Below are 21,250 nucleotides of genomic sequence, written 5' to 3'. Positions count from 1 at the left end.
AGTGGGCGCAGGTCAGTGGGTGCGTGCACCGTGCGCGAGCCAAAGCAGGGCGAGGCATTGCCTCACTTGGGAAGTGCAACGGATCAGGGAGTTCCCTTTCCCAGTCAAAGAAAGGGGTGACGGACGGCACCTGGAAAATCGGGTCACTCCCACCCGAATACTGCGCTTTTCTGAAGGGCTTAAAAAACGGCGCACCATGAGATTATATCCTGCACATGGCTCAGAGGGTCCTACGCCCACGGAGTCTCGCTGATTGCTAGCACAGCAGTCTGAGATCAAACTGCAAGGCGGCAGCGAGGCTGGGGGAGGGGCGCCCACCATTGCCCAGGCTTGCTTAGGTAAACAAAGCAGCGGGAAGCTCGAACTGGGTGGAGCCCACCACAGCTCAAGGAGGCCTGCCTGCCTCTGTAGGCTCCACCTCTGGGGGCAGGGCACAGACAAACAAAAAGACAGCAGTAACCTCTGCAGACTTAAATGTCCCTGTCTGACAGCTTTGAAGAGAGCAGTGGTTCTCCCAGTACGCAGCTGGAGATCTGAGAACGGGCAGACTGCCTCCTCAAGTGGGTCCCTGACCCCCGAGCAGCCTAACTGGGAGGCACCCCCCAGCAGGGGCAGATTGACACCTCACAGGGCCCAGTACTCCAACAGACCTGCAGCTGAGGGTCCTGTCTGTTAGAAGGAAAACTAACAAACAGAAAGGACATCCACACCAAAAACCCATCTGTACATCACCATCATCAAAGACCAAAAGTAGATAAAACCACAAAGATGGGGAAAAAACAGAACAGAAAAACTGGAAATTAAAAAGCAGAGCGCCTCTCCTCCTCCAAAGGAATGCAGTTCCTCACCAGCAACGGAACAAAGCTGGATGGAGAATGACTTTGACGAGCTGAGAGAAGAAGGCTTCAGACGATCAAATTACTCTGAGCTATGGGAGGACATTCAGACCAAAGGCAAAGAAGTTGAAAACTTTGAAAAAAATTTAGAAGAATGTATAACTAGAATAACCAATACAGAGAAGTGCTTAAAGGAGCTGATGGAGCTGAAAACCAAGGCTCGAGAACTACGTGAAGAATGCAGAAGCCTCAGGAGCCGATGCGATCAACTGGAAGAAAGGGTATCAGCAATGGAAGATGAAATGAATGAAATGAAGTGAGAAGGGAAGTTTAGAGAAAAAAGAATAAAAAGAAATGAGCAAAGCCTCCAAGAAATATGGGACTATGTGAAAAGACCAAATCTACGTCTGATTGGTGTACCTGAAAGTGATGGGGAGAATGGAACCAAGTTGGAAAACACTCTGCAGGATATTATCCAGGAGAATTTCCCCGATCTAGCAAGGCAGGCCAACGTTCAGATTCAGGAAAAACAGAGAACGACACAAAGATACTCCTCAAGAAGAGCAACTCCAAGAACACAATTGTCAGATTCACCAAAGTAGAAATGAAGGAAAAAATGTTAAGGGCAGCCAGAGAGAAAGGTCGGGTTACCCTCAAAGGGAAGCCCATCAGACTAACAGCGGATCTCTCAGCAGAAACCCTACAAGCCAGAAGAGAGTGGGGGCCAATATTCAACATTCTTAAAGAAAAGAATTTTCATCCCAGAATTTCATATCCAGCCAAACTAAGCTTCATAAGTGAAGGAGAAATAAAATACTTCACAGACAAGCAAACGCTGAGAGATTTTGTCACCACGAGGCCTGCCCTAAAAGAGCTCCTGAAGGAAGCACTACACATGGAAAGGAACAACCGGCACCAGCCACTGCAAAATCATGCCAAAATGTAAAGACCATCGAGACTAGGAAGAAACTGCATCAACTAACGAGCAAAATAACCAGCTAACATCATAACGACAAGATCAGATTCACACATAACAATATTAACTTTAAATGTAAATGGACTAAATGCTCCAATTAAAAGACACAGACTGGCAAATTGGATAAAGAGTCAAGACTCATCAGTGTGCTGTATTCAGGAAACCCATCTCACGTGCAGAGACACACATAGGCTCAAAATAAAAGGATGGAGGAAGATCTACCAAGCAAATGGAAAACAAAAAAAGGCAGGGGTTGCAATCCTAGTCTCTGATAAAACAGACTTTAAACCAACAAAGATCAAAAGAGACAAAGAAGGCCATTATATAATGGTAAAGGGATCAATTCAACAAGAAGAGCTAACTATCCTAAATATATATGCACCCAATATAGGAGCACCCAGATTCATAGAGCAAGTCCTGAGTGACCTACAAAGAGACTTAGACTCCCACACATTAATAATGGGAGACTTTAACACCCCACTGTCAATATTAGACAGATCAATGAGACAGAAAGTCAACAGGGATACCCAGGAATTGAACCCAGCTCTGCACCAAGCAGACCTAATAGACATCTACAGAACTCTCCACCACAAATCAACAGAATATACATTTTTTTCAGCACCACACCACACTTATTCCAAAATTGACCACATACTTGGAAGTAAAGCTCTCCTCAGCAAATGTAAAAGAACAGAGATTATAACAAACTATCTCTCAGACCACAGTGCAATCAAACTAGAACTCAGGATTAAGAATCTCACTCAAAACTGCTCAACTACATGGAAACTGAACAACCTGCTCCTGAATGACTACTGGGTACATAACGAAATGAAGGCAGAAATAAAGATGTTCTTTGAAACCAACGAGAACAAAGACACAACATACCAGAATCTCTGGGACGCATTCAAAGCAGTGTGTAGAGGGAAATTTATAGCACTAAATGCCCACAAGAGAAAGCAGGAAAGATCCAAAATTGACACCCTAACATCACAAGTAAAAGAACTAGAAAAGCAAGAGCAAACACATTCAAAAGCTAGCAGAAGGCAAGAAATAACTAAAATCAGAGCAGAACTGAAGGAAATAGAGACACAAAAAACCCTTCAAAAAATTAATTAATCCAGGAGCTGGTTTTTTGAAAGGATCAACAAAATTGATAGACTGCTAGCAAGACTAATAAAGAAAAAAAGAGAGAAGAATCAAATAGACGCAATAAAAAATGATAAAGGGGATATCACCACCAATCCGACAGAAATACAAACTACCATCAGAGAATACTACAAACACCTCTATGCAAATAAACTAGAAAATCTAGCAGAAATGGATAAATTCCTCGACACATACACTCTCCCAAGACTAAACCAGGAAGAAGTTGAATCTCTGAACAGATCAATAACAGGATCAGAAATTGTGGCAATACTCAATAGTTTACCAACCAAAAAGAGTCCAGGACCAGATGGATTCACAGCTGAATTCTACCAGAGGTACAAGGAGGAACTGGTACCATTCCTTCTGAAACTATTCCAATCAATAGAAAAAGAGGGAATCCTCCCTAACTCTTTTTATGAGGCCAGCATCATCCTGATACCAAAGCCGGGCAGAGACACAAGCAAAAAAGAGAATTTTAGACCAATACCCTTGATGAATATTGATGCAAAAATCCTCAATAAAATACTGGCAAAACGAATCCAGCAGCACATCAAAAAGCTTATCCACCATGATCAAGTGGGCTTCATCCCTGGGATGCAAGGCTGGTTCAATATACGCAAATCAATAAATGTAATCCAGCATACAAACAGAGCCAAAGACAAAAACCACATGATTATCTCAATAGATGCAGAAAAAGCCTTTGACAAAATTCAACAACTCTTCATGCTAAAAACTCTTAATAAATTAGGTATTGATGGGATGTATCTCAAAATAAGAAGAGCTATCTATGACAAACCCACAGCCAATATCATACTGAATGGGCAAAAACTGGAAGCATTCCCTTTGAAAACTGGCACAAGACAGGGATGCCCTCTCTCACCACTCCTATTCAACATAGTGTTGGAAGTTCTGGCCAGGGCAATTAGGCAGGAGAAGGAAATAAAGGGTATTCAATTAGGAAAAGAGGAAGTCAAATTGTCCCTGTTTGCAGATGACATGATTGTATATCTAGAAAACCCCATTGTCTCAGCCCAAAATCTCCTTAAGCTGATAAGCAACTTCAGCAAAGTCTCAGGATACAAAATCAATGTACAAAAATCACAAGCATTCTTATACACCAACAACAGACAAACAGAGAGCCAAATCATGAGTGAACTCCCATTCACACTTGCTTCAAAGAGAATAAAATACCTAGGAATCCAACTTACAAGGGATGTGAAGGACCTCTTCAAGGAGAACTACAAACCACTGCTCAACGAAATAAAAGAGGATACAAACAAATGGAAGAACATTCCATGCTCATGGGTAGGAAGAATCAATATCGTGAAAATGGCCATACTGCCCAAGGTAATTTACAGATTGAATGCCATCCCCATCAAGCTACCAATGCCTTTCTTCACAGAATTGGAAAAAACTACTTTAAAGTTCATATGGAACCAAAAAAGAGCCCGCGTTGCCAAGTCAATCCTAAGCCAAAAGAACAAAGCTGGAGGCATCACACTACCTGACTTCAAACTATACTACAAGGCTATAGTAACCAAAACAGCATGGTACTGGTACCAAAACAGAGATATAGATCAATGGAACAGAACAGAGCCCTCAGAAATAACGCCGCATATCAACAACTATCTGATCTTTGACAAACCTGACAAAAACAAGCAATGGGGAAAGGATTCTCTATTTAATAAATGGTGCTGGGAAAACGGGCTAGCCATATGTAGAAAGCTGAAACTGGATCCCTTCCTTACACCTTATACAAAAATTAATTCAAGATGGATTAAAGACTTAAACGTTAGACCTAAAACCAGAAAAACCCTAGAAGAAAACCTAGGCATTACCATTCAGGACATAGGCATGGGCAAGGACTTCATGTCTAAAACACCAAAAGCAATGGCAACAAAAGACAAAATAGACAAATGGGATCTAATTAAACTAAAGAGCTTCTGCACAGCAAAAGAAACTACCATCAGAGTGAACAGGCAACCTACAAAATGGGAGAAAATTTTCGCAACCTACTCATCTGACAAAGGGCTAATATCCAGAATCTACAATGAACTCAAACAGATTTACAAGAAAAAAACAAACAACCCCATCAAAAAGTGGGCGAAGGACATGAACAGACACTTCTCAAAAGAAGACATTTATGCAGCCAAAAAACACATGAAAAAATGCTCATCATCACTGGCCATCAGAGAAATGCAAATCAAAACCACAATGAGATACCATCTCACACCAGTTAGAATGGCAATCATTAAAAAGTCAGGAAACAACAGGTGCTGGAGAGGATGTGGAGAAATAGGAACACTTTTACACTGTTGGTGGGACTGTAAACTAGTTCAACCATTGTGGAAGTCAATGTGGCGATTCATCAGGGATCCAGAACTAGAAATACCACTTGACCCAGCCATCCCATTACTGGGTATATACCCAAAGAACTCTAAATCATGCTGCTATAAAGACACATGCACACGTATGTTTATTGTGGCATTATTCACAATAGCAAAGACTTGGAACCAACCCAAATGCCCAACAATGATAGACTGGATTAAGAAAATGTGGCACATATACACCATGGAATACTATGCAGCCATAAAACATGATGAGTTCATGTCCTTTGTAGGGACATGGATGAAATTGGAAAGCATCATTCTCAGTAAACTATCGCAAGAACAAAAAACCAAACACCGCATATGCTCACTCATAGGTGGGAATTGAACAATGAGATCACATGGACACAGGAAGGGGAATATCACACTCTGGGGACTGTGTTGGGGTGGGGGGAGGGGGGAGGGATAGCACTGGGAGATATACCTAATGCTAGATGACGAGTTAGTGGGTGCAGTGCACCAGCATGGCACATGTATACATATGTAACTAACCTGCACAATGTGCACATGTACCCTAAAACTTAAAGTATAATAAAAAAATAAAAAATAAAAATAAAAAAGTCAAAAAATAACAGATGCTAGCAAGGCTGCTAAGAAAAGGAAACACTTATACATTGTTGGTGGGACTGTAAATTATTTCAGCCATTGTGGAAAGCAGTGTGACAATTACACAAATAACATAAAACAGAATTACCATTTGACCCAGCAATCCCATTAATGAGTATATGCCCAAAAGAATTAATATAAATTCCTCTACCATAGAGAGACATACTTGTGTATGGTCATTGCAGCACTATTCACAGTAGCAAAGACATGGATTCAACCCAAATGTGCATCAATGATACACTGTATGAAGAAAGTGTAGAACATATACACCATGAAATACAATCCAGCCATAAAAAAGGAGTTCACATCCTTTGCAGCAATATGGATGGAGCTGAAAGCCACTTTCCTAAGCAAACTAATGCAAGAACAGAAAGCCAAATACTGCATGTTCTCACTTGTAAGTGGGAGCTAAACAATGAGAATACATGGATACTAGGAGGGGAACAAAAGACGCTGGAGCCTCTTTGAGGGTGAAGAGTGGGAGGAGGGATGGGATCAGGAAAAAAAATACCTATTAAGTACTATGCTTATTACCTAGGTGATGAAATAATCTGTACAACAAACCCCCATGACATGCAGTTTACCTATATAAAAACCTGCACACGTAACCCCAAACCTAAAAATAAAAGTCATAACTTTAAAAAAGCATGGATCAGGCGTGGTGGCTCATGCCTGTAATCCCAGTACTTTGGGAGGCCGAGGCGGGCGGATCATGAGGTCAGGAGATTGAGACCATCCTGGCTAACATGGTGAAACCCCGTCTCTACTAAATATACCAAAAAAATTAGCCAGGCATGGTGGCATGCACCTGTAGTCCCAGCTACTCAGGAGGCTGAGGCAGGAGAATTGCTTGAACCTGGGAGGCAGAGGTGGCAGTGAGCCAGAATCATGCCACTGCACTCCAGCCCTCCAGCCTGGGCAATAAGAGTGAGACACCATCTCAAAAAAATAAATAAATAATAAAAATAAAAAAGCATGAAGATGAAGTTAAAGGCTAGAATTTTTATTAGATTTTGTCAAGTTTGTTTGTTTATGCTATCAGTGTTAAGCTGTCATGAGTTTAAAATAATAGGTTATAAGAAAGTCTTTGCAAGCCTCACAGTAACCTCAAATTGAAAAAAACAGAACAGATACATAAAAAATAAAAAGCAAAAAGTAAATCATAAAACCAGAGGAAATCACTTTCACTAAAAAAGACAGGAAAGAGAAGACCCCCTAAACAACCAGAAAATAAATAACAAAATTTCAGGAGTAAGTCCTCATCAATAATAACAATATAAATGGACTAAACTTTCCAATCAAAAGACACAGAGTGGCTGAATAGATGAAAAAAAAACTCCATGATCTGTTGCCTACAAGAAACACACTTCACCTATATATATGCATATAGACTGAAAATAAAGGGATGAAAAAAGATATTCCATGCCAATGGAAACCAAAAAAGAGGAGAAGTCACTATATTTATATCAGACAAAATAGATTTCAAGATAAAAACTGTAAGAAGACACAAAGAAGGTCATTATATGATAAAGTGTTCAATCCAGCAACAGGATATAATTATTGTAAATATATACGCAACCAACACTGGAACACCCAGATATACAAAGGTAACATTATTGGAGCTAAAGAGAGAGAGAGGCCCAAATAAAATAATAGCTGGAGACTTCAACAATGCACCATAAGCATGGGCAACCAAAGCAAAAATGGACAAATGGGATCACATCATGTTAAAAAGCTTCTGTATAGCAAAGGATACAATAAACAAATTGAATCAACAACCCACAGAATGGGAGAAAATATTTTGCAAACTATGCATCTGACAAGTGGTTAATACCCAGAATATATAAGGAGCTCAAACAACGCTATAGGAAAAGAATCTAATAATCCATTAAAAAATAGGCAGCAGATATGAATAGACATTTCTCAAAAGAAGACATACAAATGACAAACAGGCTTATAAAAAGGTGCTCAACATCACTGATTCATTGATTAATTCATCAGAGAAATACAAATCAAAACTACAATGGGATCTCTCACCACAGTTAAAATGGCTTATATCCAAAAGGCAGGCAATAACAAATGTTGGAGAGGATGTGAAAAAAAAGGGAACCCTCATACACTGTGGGTGAGAATGTAAATTAGTACAACCACTATGGAGAACAGTTTCCAGGTTCCTCAAAAAAACTAAAATGTTGAGCTACCATATGATTCAGCACTCCCACTGATGGTTACACAGCCAAAACAAGGAAATCAGCATATTGAAGAGAGATCTGCACTCCTATGTTTGTTGTAGCACTGTTCACAACAAACAAGATTTACAAGCAACCTAAGCATCCATCAACAGATGAATGGATAAAGAAAATGTGAGCCAGGCATGGTGGCTCACGCCTGTAATCCCAGCACTTTGGGAGGCCAAGGCATGCGGATCACTTGAGGTCAGGAGTTCAAGACCAGCCTCGCCAATATGGCAAAACCCCATGTCTACTAAAAATACAAAAAATTAGCGAGGCATGGTGGCACATGCCTGTAATCCCAGCTACTCAGGATGCTGAGGCATGATAATTGCTCGAACCCAGGAGGCAGAGGTTACAGTGAGCCAAGATTGCACCACTGCACTCCAGCCTGGGTGACAGACTGAGACTCTGTCTCAGAAAAAAGAAAGAAAGAAAGAAAGAAAATGTAGCATTTATACACAATGGAGTACTACTCAGCCACTAAAAGAATGAGATTCTGTCATCTGCAACAACATGGATGCAACTGGGGGTAAGACAGGCACGGAAAGACAAACATTGTATGTTCTCACTCATTTGTGGGATGTAAAAATTTGTGGGAAGTAAAAATTTGTGGGAGATAGAGAGTAGAAGGAGGGTTATCAAAGGCTGATAAGGGTAGTGAGGGGTTAGCGGAGATGAGGATGATTAATGGACACAAAAAATAGTTTGAAAGAATGAGTAAGACCATATTTGATAGCACAACAGGGTGACTATAGTCAAAATAATTTGATTGTAAATTTTTAAATAACTACAAGAGTATAATTGGATGGTTTGTAACACAAAGGATAAAGGCTTGAAGGAACAGATACCTATTTTCCATGATGTGATTACTATTCATTGCATGCTTTATCAAAATATCTCATGTACCCTATATATATTTACTATGTATGCACAAAAATTAAAATTAAAAAAATGACCAGGTACAGTGGCTCATGCCTGTAATCCCAGCACTTCAGAGGCCAAGGCAAGAGGATCACTTGAGCCTAGAAGTTCAAGACCAGCCTGGGTAGTATAGTGAGGTCTCGTCTCTACAAAACAAAACAAAAAAAATTAATTAATTAGCCAGGCATGGTGGTGTGCAGCTATAGTCCCTGCTACTCTGGAGGCTGAGGTGGGAGGATCACCTGAGCCCAGGAGGTGAGGGTTGCATTGAGCAGAGATCACACCCCTGCATGACAATCAGGGCAACAGAGTGAGATCTTGTCTCAAAGAAAAAAAATATATATATACACATATATATTTATTTATATATTAAAATATACATTATATATAATAAAAACAATACAAACTCTGGAGTCAAACATACTAGATTCGTATGCTGATTTCATCACTAACTACTTGTGATACCTTGGACAGTTCCCTTCCCTCTCAGAGCCTGAATTTCCCCACTTGTAAAAACGGAGAATAAAAACAGTATCTATTTCACAAATACAAATATTCATTTGTATTTGAATAAAATCCAAATACAGATGAAAGGTCCTGGTTCATATATTAAGTGCTGTACAACTGTAAGTAGTAGCAGTAGTGTTATTGTTGTTCTTAAGAAGAAAAAAAGAGGAAGGAGAAGAGTTTTAATATGGCTTTCAGACAACTTTTGCCTAATAGCTGTCTCTCCCTAGCTCTTGGCAAAAATTGAGGAGAAAATATTCAAAGTTGAGGGCAGTAGGAGTAGATCTTCTGGGTTAATAGAAAGATCAATATGTTTTAGCTAACAGATACATCAATGGTAACAACAATAACTTACTGTAAAAAAAAAAATAAAGATCCTATCTATCTTGGTCATCCCCCTTATAGACAGAAGCAGATCATAGAACTACCTGTCAGCAAAGCCAGGACTTTTCTTTAAAAGAAGCTCTATCTCCTATTTACTTTTGGAACAAGTATTTGTTGAAACCTCAGAATTCTGTACTTTAAACTATGGAAGAGATGCTCTTGGTTTGGAAGACTTTGAGATCAAGACTTGCCACTGAAAACCATTATATCATCATGTCAAAGAACACTCCCCAATTGGGCAAGTAACAAATAATAATGTCCTTCGCCAGGACAGAGTATAGAGGTAAGGTTTTGCTTCTAACACTACTTGTTATTAATTCATTAACCACTTGCTGCCACTTGAATCTGCCCAATTTATAATCCTGCCACAGTATAAAATCTCCTAGTGCATATTTTCCTGACAAATAAAATTATTACCTCAATGAATTCCATTTTTGTAAGATTACGAATAGGAAGATGAATAAGGATTTATTTCAGTATCTTGACATCTTTCAATGCATTCATCTTAGTCTCTCAGCCTATTCATTTCTAAATGTAGCACAAGACCAAAAGAGCTGCAACAGAGCTTCAAATGTCCGTATGATCAGGAATTGCTTTGGAATCCCAGTTTTTATAGTAGTTTTACTAAATTAAGTTGACCTAAGCACCTCAGAGACAGTAATGTTATTCTGGGGCTCATACAAAAGTTGTGATGGAATTTAAAGGTTTCTACGGGAAATCTGATTTAGTTCAGATCCATTCTTCCAAGGCTTTCTATGAATGTTTCTAAACTTGATCACAAACATATAAAGTGGTTGATCCAAATAAGTAAACTATGAAAGCAGCTAAGGCTAAAAAGTATATCTTACATACAATTACATTCAAACTTTTTTTGAACTTGACCCACAGCAAGAAAGACATTTACATATAATATATACTTATAGAAATGCATATAATTAAAAATAAAATTCCGTAAAATAATACTTTTAAGTGCAATATCGGATATAGCCTATTCTTTTCAATTTACATCTTTGTTCTTAATTAATAGTTTTATTCACACCAAATTGATTTCATGACCCACGGTTTAAAAAACACTATTATATACAGATGATTATAGCTTATAACCTCTGGACAACTTTCAGAATATTCATAAGGTTCAGATAGCAGGTGAATAAAAAAAAAAATAATAACATGAGGTGCCTTTATAGTTACCTATCATAGATGCAGAAAGGCAGGTTGTTTAGTCACCCTATAGGTTTCAAATCACTGTAGTTCTATATATAAAAGAGTTCAAAGGAGAGGGATAATTATTAGGGACAGAAGGAAAGTATAACATTGAACAGAGAAAAGGAAATGAACATTAAGTAAGCAGAGAGGCAGGAGGTGTGGGACCTACTGTGCTGACAAAGGAAGCAGAGACTGGAAAATAAACACAGCCAGAGCCAGGAAAACAAGTAGAACCTGAAGCAGGAGGCTAAATGGAGCCAGAGCCAGAAGGGTATGCATAAACAGGGACACAAGAGGAAACAAGGCCAACAGAAAATAATGTGCATGCCAGAAAGTAAAAAAGCCTGATGGCATTTGGCTGTCTTATGCATGAGAGCAGAAAGGCCTGAAACTGTGCTACTATGTGTATTCTCTCAGGCTATCAGAGAACTAGAACTTTATATGCAGCTAAAACTCACTATAGTTAAAGAAAATATGGTCATTATCTATTATGCTCTATTAATTAGCACTTCTTTTCTACCAATAAATTTGATCTTCTTTTATTAGAATGCTCAACTGAGAAAATAAGCATATGTTCTTAATCTGTTTGTTAATTTTCCACTGCCAGAATTTAGAATCAAATTTAATTTCTACCACATTGTTATCCAAATCATTTCCTGGTTTCTTTAATACTTCATGTACACAACAATGCTATGGAAATAACAGCGCTGTTTTGATGGAAAAAATATTAAGATTCATATTGTGGGGAAACTATCTTCTTTTATGTTTTACTAATAAATTATTTCCAATAGAGCTCAGCAAATTAGTGATGCAATTATTACAAAATAACAACTACTTGGCAAAGTGCTTAAGCTGTGTCTTTAAAAAATGACTGGATAGGTTTTTATTCTTTTTTCTTATTATTATTTTATTTTTACAAGAATCAGTACTATGTAACAAAAAAGTTAAATTTCAGGTCAAATTGTAATTTTTTAGAATCAGTCAGATATTTTTATTTTTTATTGACAAGTAATAATTGCACATGTACAAGGAGTACATGGTAGTGTTTCAATACATATAATGTATGACGATCAGATAAAAGTAATTAGCATATCCACTATAGTTAACAATAACATATAGTTTCAAATAGCTAGAAGGAGGATATTGAATGTTTCCAACACAAAGATATTATTAATATTTGAGATATTTACATTTATGAGGAGAGCTAATTCACCACATGGTAATTCAGCAAAGCCTATTCAATCCAGTTCACTATTAAGCAAAGGTGCACCACCTCTACCAAAAAACAACAAAAACAAAACAAAAACCCAAGGTTTATAAAGTATTTGAGTATTTGCTGTCATCTTAATTGGTGATCACTTAAATTAATTGGCGATCACCTAAATTAATTGGCAAAGTATTATTTATGGTTAAATAATTTCAATAAGCAAGTGAATAACATGTAAACACATACCAACTTAAATAAATATTTCAAAAAATAAAACATATAGCACTGATAATATCTTGAACAATTATGAAATTTAGAAATTGTCCCTATTCAATTAATTGGCTTATTATTTAAGAAGTACATAAAAGTTGTTTGTAAAAGAAAAAGATATGAAAATAAGTTCAAATTAAGACAAATTTCAGAAGATTAGGTTAGAAAGATCTAAGAGTGTAAAAGGTATAAATGCCCTACAATCCATGAATTAGCCATTGTGTTCACAGCAACATGATTTGTAAGAGAGAGAAATATTGAAAGTAACTTCTTGGTATGTTAATTAGTTACCAAAAACAAGAACAAAAACCTCCCGCTGTTTATTCATAGGAAAAAAAAGATGGAAGAGGTTTTCTGTGGGATGGGATCGAAGAGGAAGTCCTCATTTCTTCTTAAAATTATACTACGACTAAATACCATACTATTTGGAGGGTTGAGGTAAATCACTAAGGTTAGCAACAACTACATCTCTTCCATTGAGATGCTCCACTGCTCCCCAAGAAGAATGAACTGACTGACCCAACTGCTAAGTACAGAAAATTATATCTTCTTATACTGCAGTTCCTAAATTTGAAGTTTGCCATGTCTAAGCACAAATCCAAATGACTGCTTAGGTCTCTCTCTTGGAATTTTCCACAGCCCCAACACTTCTCTTCTTACTTCATAGATTTGAGAGTAAGTCTATCCTTTTCTAAATCTTAACTCTTCTTACTTCCCTCTGCCAAGTTCAGATATCAGGGCCCCACAGCCAATTATTGTTATTACACTTTCTCCCATCTCATGAATCTGAATGAAAAACTTGAGGGTGAGGGACAAGACACTGTATTTCTGGAAATTGTGTTGTAACTATGGCAAATAAGATGAGAAATTGTACCTTTTACTGTATTTGTAAGAAAATATACATAAACTAGAATATGTGTTTATATGATGAGGATTAATTGCATAATCACAAATCTGCTAACATGGACACTTCAAATAGATATTAATATTAAAAGACAAACAAAGGGAGAAGAGAAACTCTGCAAAACTTTTGACAGTCTATAAAGAATAAAAATTATTGTAGTAATTTTCCACAATAAGAATTACATATATCAGACTTTTATAATTTTACCAATTATAACACTAAATTCTATAGAAGCATATACCATCCATTTTATATTTATGTGACATGGTCATCTACTCACAGAACATAATCTTAGCACAACTAGAAAAAGAAATGAAAAAAATGCAGATGAACATTGGCAAAAATTTACCTCAGAATGAATAATCATGAGCTATCTGGCTTTCAAATCTCACTGAACTGTTCCCAGGTTTCATGGACTTTCTCCCATGTCTTATAGGGATAGCAGCCAGGTGAAACATACTTATATATTGTAAATGAAGGTTAGGCAACTTAGAAACACATCTAAAGATTTGAAGCCAAGTAATCACCAACCTACTTTGTCTATATTTTCTTTCTTTGTCTTGAGGTTAGAAACATTTACAATTTACTAATATCCTGTATTTCCATAAGTATCTATGGATATGCCATCCAGCAGCAATCTGCATTCCCTTTTATCAGAGAACACAAATACAGTTGATTCTTATTATTTGCAGACCATTTACGTGTTGTATAAAATTGCTATAAACCATGAATTAGCAAATACTGAACTACTGCTCCCAGGGAGGAATATATAGGGTTAGCTTCCTAACAGCCTCTGATCACATTTTCATCAACCAATCAACTCATAGGCTTTTTGTGTGTGTGTTTCTGTTTAAACATGCCTTATTTAATACATACTGTTGATTGATTAACAAGGAACTCATAGCCATTAGCACTATGATTCATGCCTGAATGAAACTTAACTAACACATGTATTTTCTCCATAAGGAACATCTTGTCTTGAGAATGCTAGATTACACTTAGGGGCTATTTTAAATAGCAAAATTACCAACAAAGAGCATAAAAATGAAAAAAAATGTGGCACTAAATAGGCCACAAAAAGGACATTTGTTAAGTTATCACAGTTGAAACAAAAAGGCAGTGCCTCTTTGTTGAACCTCAGCTGGGAGCATCCACATGGAGTTACTCAAATTTTTCACTGTTCTGCACATGTACACGCCCAAAAATAATCGTGAAAGTGCTGTAAGTATTAATTTTGAGGTTGCAAATATATTTTAGTAGGTAAGTCAATTCACAAATACAGAATCTGAAAAAAATGAGAAACAACTGTACATCTAAAATACTATGTCTTTCCTCTATTTCATCAGTTCTCCAACTTTTTTGTCTCAGAACCCCTTCATATTAGTAAAAATTATTGAGGATCTCAATGTGCTTTTGTTTAATAAGTTATATATATATTTCTATCTACTTTTTAGAAATTAAATTTTCTATTTATTTTTAAATTGATTTTTAATTATTAATAATAAATCCATTGCATGCTAACATAAGTTATCTGTTATGTATTGTTTATATTAACATTAATTAATTAAAAGTAATCACATTTCTCAAAAGATTTACTGAGAAAATAATATTATTTTATATTTTTGCACAACTCTTAAGGTCTAGCTTAGTAGAAGGTGGCTGGATTTTCATATCTGCTTCTGTGTTCTACATGTCCTAATATATTGCTTTGGTTGAAGTAAATGAAGAAAATTTGGGTTCACACAGATATTTGATTGGAAAAGGAAAGAATATTTAATAATTTGTTCAGGTCATTATAGATATCTTTTGGTATATGCTATACCAAAAATCAGCAGGTAGTCGTTTCAGAAAGGTTAACTGTATGCAAAAACCAAAACCATATCAATGAACTTTCTGTACTCTGTTACATTAAAATCTTTTGGTCCCTCTTGTACTTTGAATAGGTCTTTTACCCATGTGCAATTTTGCAGCAGCACACATTGGTCAGCTGGAAGACGTTCTTCAAATATTCTAAATGTTAACATATTACATCATACAATATCCAAAAATCATATCATTAACATCACCACTGATCTCATCAGAAAAGTCTTCAAAACTTCAGATACTGTCACATTCATGGTAGTGAACAAGTTTTCCAAAATTCTAATTTTTACTTGAAAGCTCAAATGTTATCATTGGCAACAAATACTGTCAGTTGTCTTCCTTTAAGTGACAGGCTCAACTTGGTTCAATTTCAAGAAAATGTCTTCAAACATCCAAATGTAAATAACAATAGTTTGGCACTTCTTTCAAATAAAAATTGAGTCCCATGAAAAAAAGCAACTACTTTGGCTCAAAATTCAAATAACTGTACAAGTTCTGTGGGACAATCATTCTCCAATATGTAGAAGTGTTCTATTAGTACTTCCCATTTCATCACACGGGATATTAAAACAATGTGTACTCAAAGGTCAAGACTTAATAAAATTAATAATTTTTACTGCTTCATTAAAGACCTTAAGTCAACTTGACTTTTATTTTCTGCATGTGTCTTGTGAAAAATGTGTACTAAAAAAAGTTTAATGCTAATACCTTATTCTTGTGTTTTACCTGCATTGCTTCTGCACCAGATGTAAATATAAAAAACCATAAAAAGCAAATAAAACCTTAGTATGATTATGAAAATAGTTTTGACTTCACATATATCCTGAAATGGTCTTGGAGACTGCCAGTGGTCCACATATCACACTTTGAGAACCACTGTTCTATGTCATATATTGGATTTGTATAGTTTTGAATCTTTGTTTTATCTAATATTGTTGAAAATTAAGGGAAAACATATTTAGATCTAGGTGATTACTCAATGCCAAGATGCCATGGACACTAAATGATTTTAGGTGAATTGGGATGAGTGCTCTACTTTGCAAGACACCAAGAGCTTACAAGATGAAAATGAACTTAGTAAATCAAACTATCAATAATAAACACTCTGAAATGGAAGAATATGTTTTATTTGTAGAATCATTACTCTTGGTGTTATGTTATTCCCTGTCATAGGATAATGGTTGTTATAATAAATTAAGGATAGAGGCATTTGGAGGGGAAAAAGTAAATAACAGAAAGAAAATTGTGAAAATGTTATAGTGAGAAATTAGGATTTCTAACCTAAAACAATTTCTCAAAATATTCTCCTTTAAGTTTTATTGATTACACCACCTGCTCCCATGACATCAAAGGGCAACATGTCCTAAGATTCTGCAAGAACATCTAAATAAATCAAGAGGTATATAGTATTCATGAATTGGAAGTTCTAATATTGTTAAATGTCAATTCTTTCCAAATAGATCTAAAGATTCAATGCAATCCCAATCATAACTTCACTAAGCTTTTTTGTAATAATTGACTAGCTGATTCTTTCTTAACTTTATATGGAAGTACAAAAGAACACAGAATATTAATCCAACTCTGAGAAAGAAAAAAAGGTAAGAGGTTTAAACATCCCATCTTCAATACTTATTCTAAATCCATAGTAATTAAGGCAGTGTGGCACTGACATAAGGATTAATAAATAGATCAGTGGAACAGAATACAGAGCCAAAAATGAAATAACTTGATTTTCTACAAAAACACTGAAGCACTCCATTGAGGAAAAAAATTTTGTTTAACAACTAATACTGCAAAACTGGATATCCATATGGAAAAAATTTTTAAAAGGAATGTCAACCCTCACTTCATACCACATACAATAATTAATTCAACACGGATTATAGACCTAAACATAAAAGTTAAACCTATAAAGATTTTAGAAGGAAACAGAATATCTGTAATATTTAGAGGTAAACAAAGGTATTCTAGAAAAAACACAGAGACAATAATCATAGAATTTTAAAAGTGATAAATCCAATTTCATCAAAATTTTAAACTAACTTTCATCAAAAGATATTATGAAGAAAATGAGAAGACAAGCATACACTGGGAGAAAATATTTGCAAAACACAGATGAGATAGTAAATTCATATCCAGCATGAATAAACAGAACTTAAAAACTTATTGATTAAAAAAATCCAACAACCCAATACTAAAAATGAGCAAAACATTTGAACAGACAGTCCATGAAGGAATATGTATGAATGATCAATAAGCACATGGAAAAGCTTAACATCTTTAGTCACCAAGGATATGCAAATTAAAACCACAGAGAGCTACCTCTACATATTATAAAATGAACACAAAATGTTAGTGAACATAGAGAGGGCCAGAACTCTTATACCTTTTTTGGTGGGAGTATAAAATACTCCCAAAAGGTATAAAATACCTTTTTTGGTGGGAGTATAAAATAAAAGCACTCTGGAAAAAGGCCTGGCAATTTCTCATAAAAATAAACATAAACCTGCCCTACGATCCAGCAATTTCACTTACAGGTATTTATCCAAAAGTAATGAAAACATATGTCTACAAAAACACTTCAACAAGAACCACAAATTAGGAAATATCCTAAAAATTTATCTGATACATTCAACAACATAAATGAATCTCAAAAACATTATCCTCAGTGAAATATGCCTTACACAGAAGAATATAGTCTACATAGCATTAATATGAAGTTTATCTACAAGCAAAACTAATTCATGGTGGGAAAAAAAGTCTTCCTAAGGGCAGGGAGGTGGATAAAATATACGATAGATTCATGAATGTATAAAGGAATAGATGGGATAAAATGTTAATTGTAACATCTAGATGGTGGGTATATGGGTGTTCACTATAAAATTCTTTCAACTTTTCTGTATGCTTGAAATTTTTCATGGTAAGTTGTTGGAAAAAAATTAAAAATTCTGACATGTAAGGATGTGCAATAGTAGAGTTTCACAGGAAGAAAGCATGCAAAGAACAATGTTAAGGCATTAAAACATGAGATTTTCTCAAAGATCTGCAGACACCTGGGGCTTCGTGGATATGGCCCCAGATATGCTGTATTTAATGATACTGATTTCTGTATAATGATTTTTGTATCCTGAAGCTTTACTGAATTTGTTTAAAAGTTCTAACAGTTTTTTGGTGACACGTTGAGGTTTTTCTCTTTTTTGTTTTTGTTTTTAATTTTTGTGGATACATAGTAGGTGTATATATTTATGGGATACATGATATGTTTTGATACAGAAATGCAACATGAAATAAGCACATCCTGAAGAATGTGGTATCCACCATCTCAAGCATTTATTCTTTGAGTTACAAACAATCCAATTACCCTCTAAGTTATTTCAAACTGTACAATTAAGTAATTATTAACTATAGTCACCACGTTGTGCATAAAATAGTAGATCTTATTCATTATTTCTATTTTTTGGACCCATTAACCATTCCCACCTCCCCCTAGAGCCCCCACTACCATTTCCAACATCTGGTAATCATCCTTCTACTCTCTATGTCCATGAGTTCCATTGCTTTGATTTTTAGATCCCACAAATAAGTGAGAATACATGATGTTTCTCTTTCTGTGACTTGTTTATTTTACTTAACATAATGATCTCCAGTTCCGTCCATGTTATTGCAAATGAGTAAATCTCATTCTTTTTTATGACTCAATAGTATTCCATTTTGCATATATATCACAATTTCTTTATCTATTCCTCTGTGTGTAAACACTTAGGTTGCTTCCAAATCTTAGCTATTGTAAAAACAGAGCTGCAACAAACATAGGAGTTCAGATACTTCTTCAATATACTGATTTCCTTTCTTTGGCTATATACCCAGCAGTGGGTGTACTGTATCATATGGTGGCTCAGTTTTTAGTTTTCTGAGGAAACTCCAAACTGTTCTCCATAATGGTTGTACTAATTTAAATTCCCACCAACAGTGTACAAGGGTTCCCTTTTCTTCATATCCTCGTCAGCATTTCTTATTGCTGGTCTTTTGGATATAAACCATTTTAACTGGAGTGAGATGATATCTCACTATAGTTTTCATTTGCATTTCTCTGATTATCATGATATAGAGCACTTTTTCATATGCCTCTTTGCCATTTGCATGTCTTAATTCAAGAAGTGCCTATTCAAACTGTTTCCCCATTTTTAAATGGATTATTAGATTTTTTCCTACAGTTATTTGAGCTCCTTATATATTCTGGTTATTATCCCCTTATCAGTTCTAATAGTTTTCTTGTGGAGTCTTTAGGTTTTTCCAAATATAAGATTATGTGATATGCAAACAAGGATAATTTGCCATCTTCTTTCCAACTTAGATGCCCTTTATTTCTTTCTCTTGTCTGAATGCTCTAGGTAGGACCTCCAGTACTATGTTGAATCACAGTGGTGAAAACGGGTAGTTTGCAAATATTTTCTCCCATTCCATGGGTTGTCTCTTTATTTTGTTGATTGTATCCTTTGCTTTACAGTAGCTTTTTAACTTGATGTGATCCCATTAGTTCATTTCTGCTTTGGTTGCCTGTGTTTGTGGGATATCACTCAAGAAACTTTTGCCCAGACCAATATCCTAAATATCTTCCCCAATGTTTTCTTGTGGTAGTTTCATAGTTTGAAGTCCTAAATTTCAGTCTTTAATCCATTTTGATTTGATTTTTGTATATGGTGAGACACAGGGGTCTAGTTTTATTCTTCTGCATATGGATATCCAGTTTTTCCAGCACCATTTATTGAAGAGACTGCCCTTTCCCAAGTTTATATTCTTGGCACTTTTGTCAAAAATGAATTCACTGTAGATGTATGGATTTCTTTCTGGGTTCTCTATTGTGTTCCATTGGTCTACATGTCTGTTTTTATGCCAGTACCATGCTGTTTTTGTTACTATATCTGTATACTATAATTTGAAGTCAGGTAATGTGATTCCTCCAGTTTTGGTCTTTTTGTTCAGGACAGCTTTGGCTACTCTGGGTCTTTTATGGTTCCATATAAATTTTAGGATAATATTCTATTTCTGTGAAGAATGCCATTGGTATTTTGAAAGGGATTGCCTTGAATCTGTAGACTGCTTTGGGTTGTATTGTTTTGGGTAGACCTTTTAACAATATTGATTCTTTCAATCCATGAACATGGAATATCTTTCCATTTTTTGGTGTCCTCTTTAATTTTTTTCTTCAGTGTTTTATAGTTTTCATTGTAGAGATCTTTCATTTCTTTGATTAAGCTAATTTCTAGGTATTTAATTTTACTTGTCACTTTTGTAAATAGAATTGTTTTTTTCTTTTTCACACTCTTCACTGTTGGCATATAGCAATGCTACTGATTTTGTATGTTGCTTTTGTATCCTGTAACTTTACTGAATTTGTTTATTAGTTCTAATAGTCGTCTTGTGGAGTCTTTAGGTTTTTCCAAATATAAGGTTATGTCATCTGTAAACAAGGATAATTTGACATCTGCTTTCCAATTTAGATATCCTTTATTTCCTTCTCCTGTCTGAATGCTATAGCTAGGACTTCCAGTACCATGTTGAATCACAGTGGTGAAACTGGGCATCACTGTCACGTTCCAGGTCTTAGAGAAAAGGCTTTCAGTTGTTCCTCATTCAGTATATTAGCTGTGGGTCTGTCATATGTGGCTTTTATTATGTTGAAGTATGCTCCTTCCATCCCCAGTTTTTTGAGGATTTTTCATTATGAAATGCTGAATTTTATCAAATGCTTTTTCAGCATCAATTAAAATGATCATATGGTTTTTATCCTTTATTCTCTTGA

The 21,250-nt window shown here is 35.7% G+C and overlaps 1 protein-coding gene across 47 annotated transcripts in view, besides 1 other annotated feature; it reads right to left on the bottom strand.

The window, feature by feature from the left end:
* The window catches only part of RIMS2 (regulating synaptic membrane exocytosis 2), a 755,485-nt gene that overhangs the window by 647,207 nt on the left and 87,028 nt on the right, over positions 1-21,250 (bottom strand). The gene's annotated exons all lie outside the window — the stretch shown is intronic.
* Positions 185-775: an enhancer, noted in NCBI's record as "NANOG-H3K27ac-H3K4me1 hESC enhancer chr8:104620341-104620931 (GRCh37/hg19 assembly coordinates)". NCBI's record gives its function as "activates a minimal SCP1, AML or CMV promoter by ChIP-STARR-seq in naive H9 embryonic stem cells {active_cell/tissue: H9 hESC(naive)}" and the evidence as "EXISTENCE:reporter gene assay evidence [ECO:0000049][PMID:30033119]".

Source organism: Homo sapiens, chromosome 8 (genome assembly GCF_000001405.40).
Source record: "Homo sapiens chromosome 8, GRCh38.p14 Primary Assembly".
In the NCBI taxonomy this organism is placed as follows: domain Eukaryota; kingdom Metazoa; phylum Chordata; class Mammalia; order Primates; family Hominidae; genus Homo; species Homo sapiens.
This window is presented reverse-complemented; position numbering and strand designations above follow the sequence as displayed.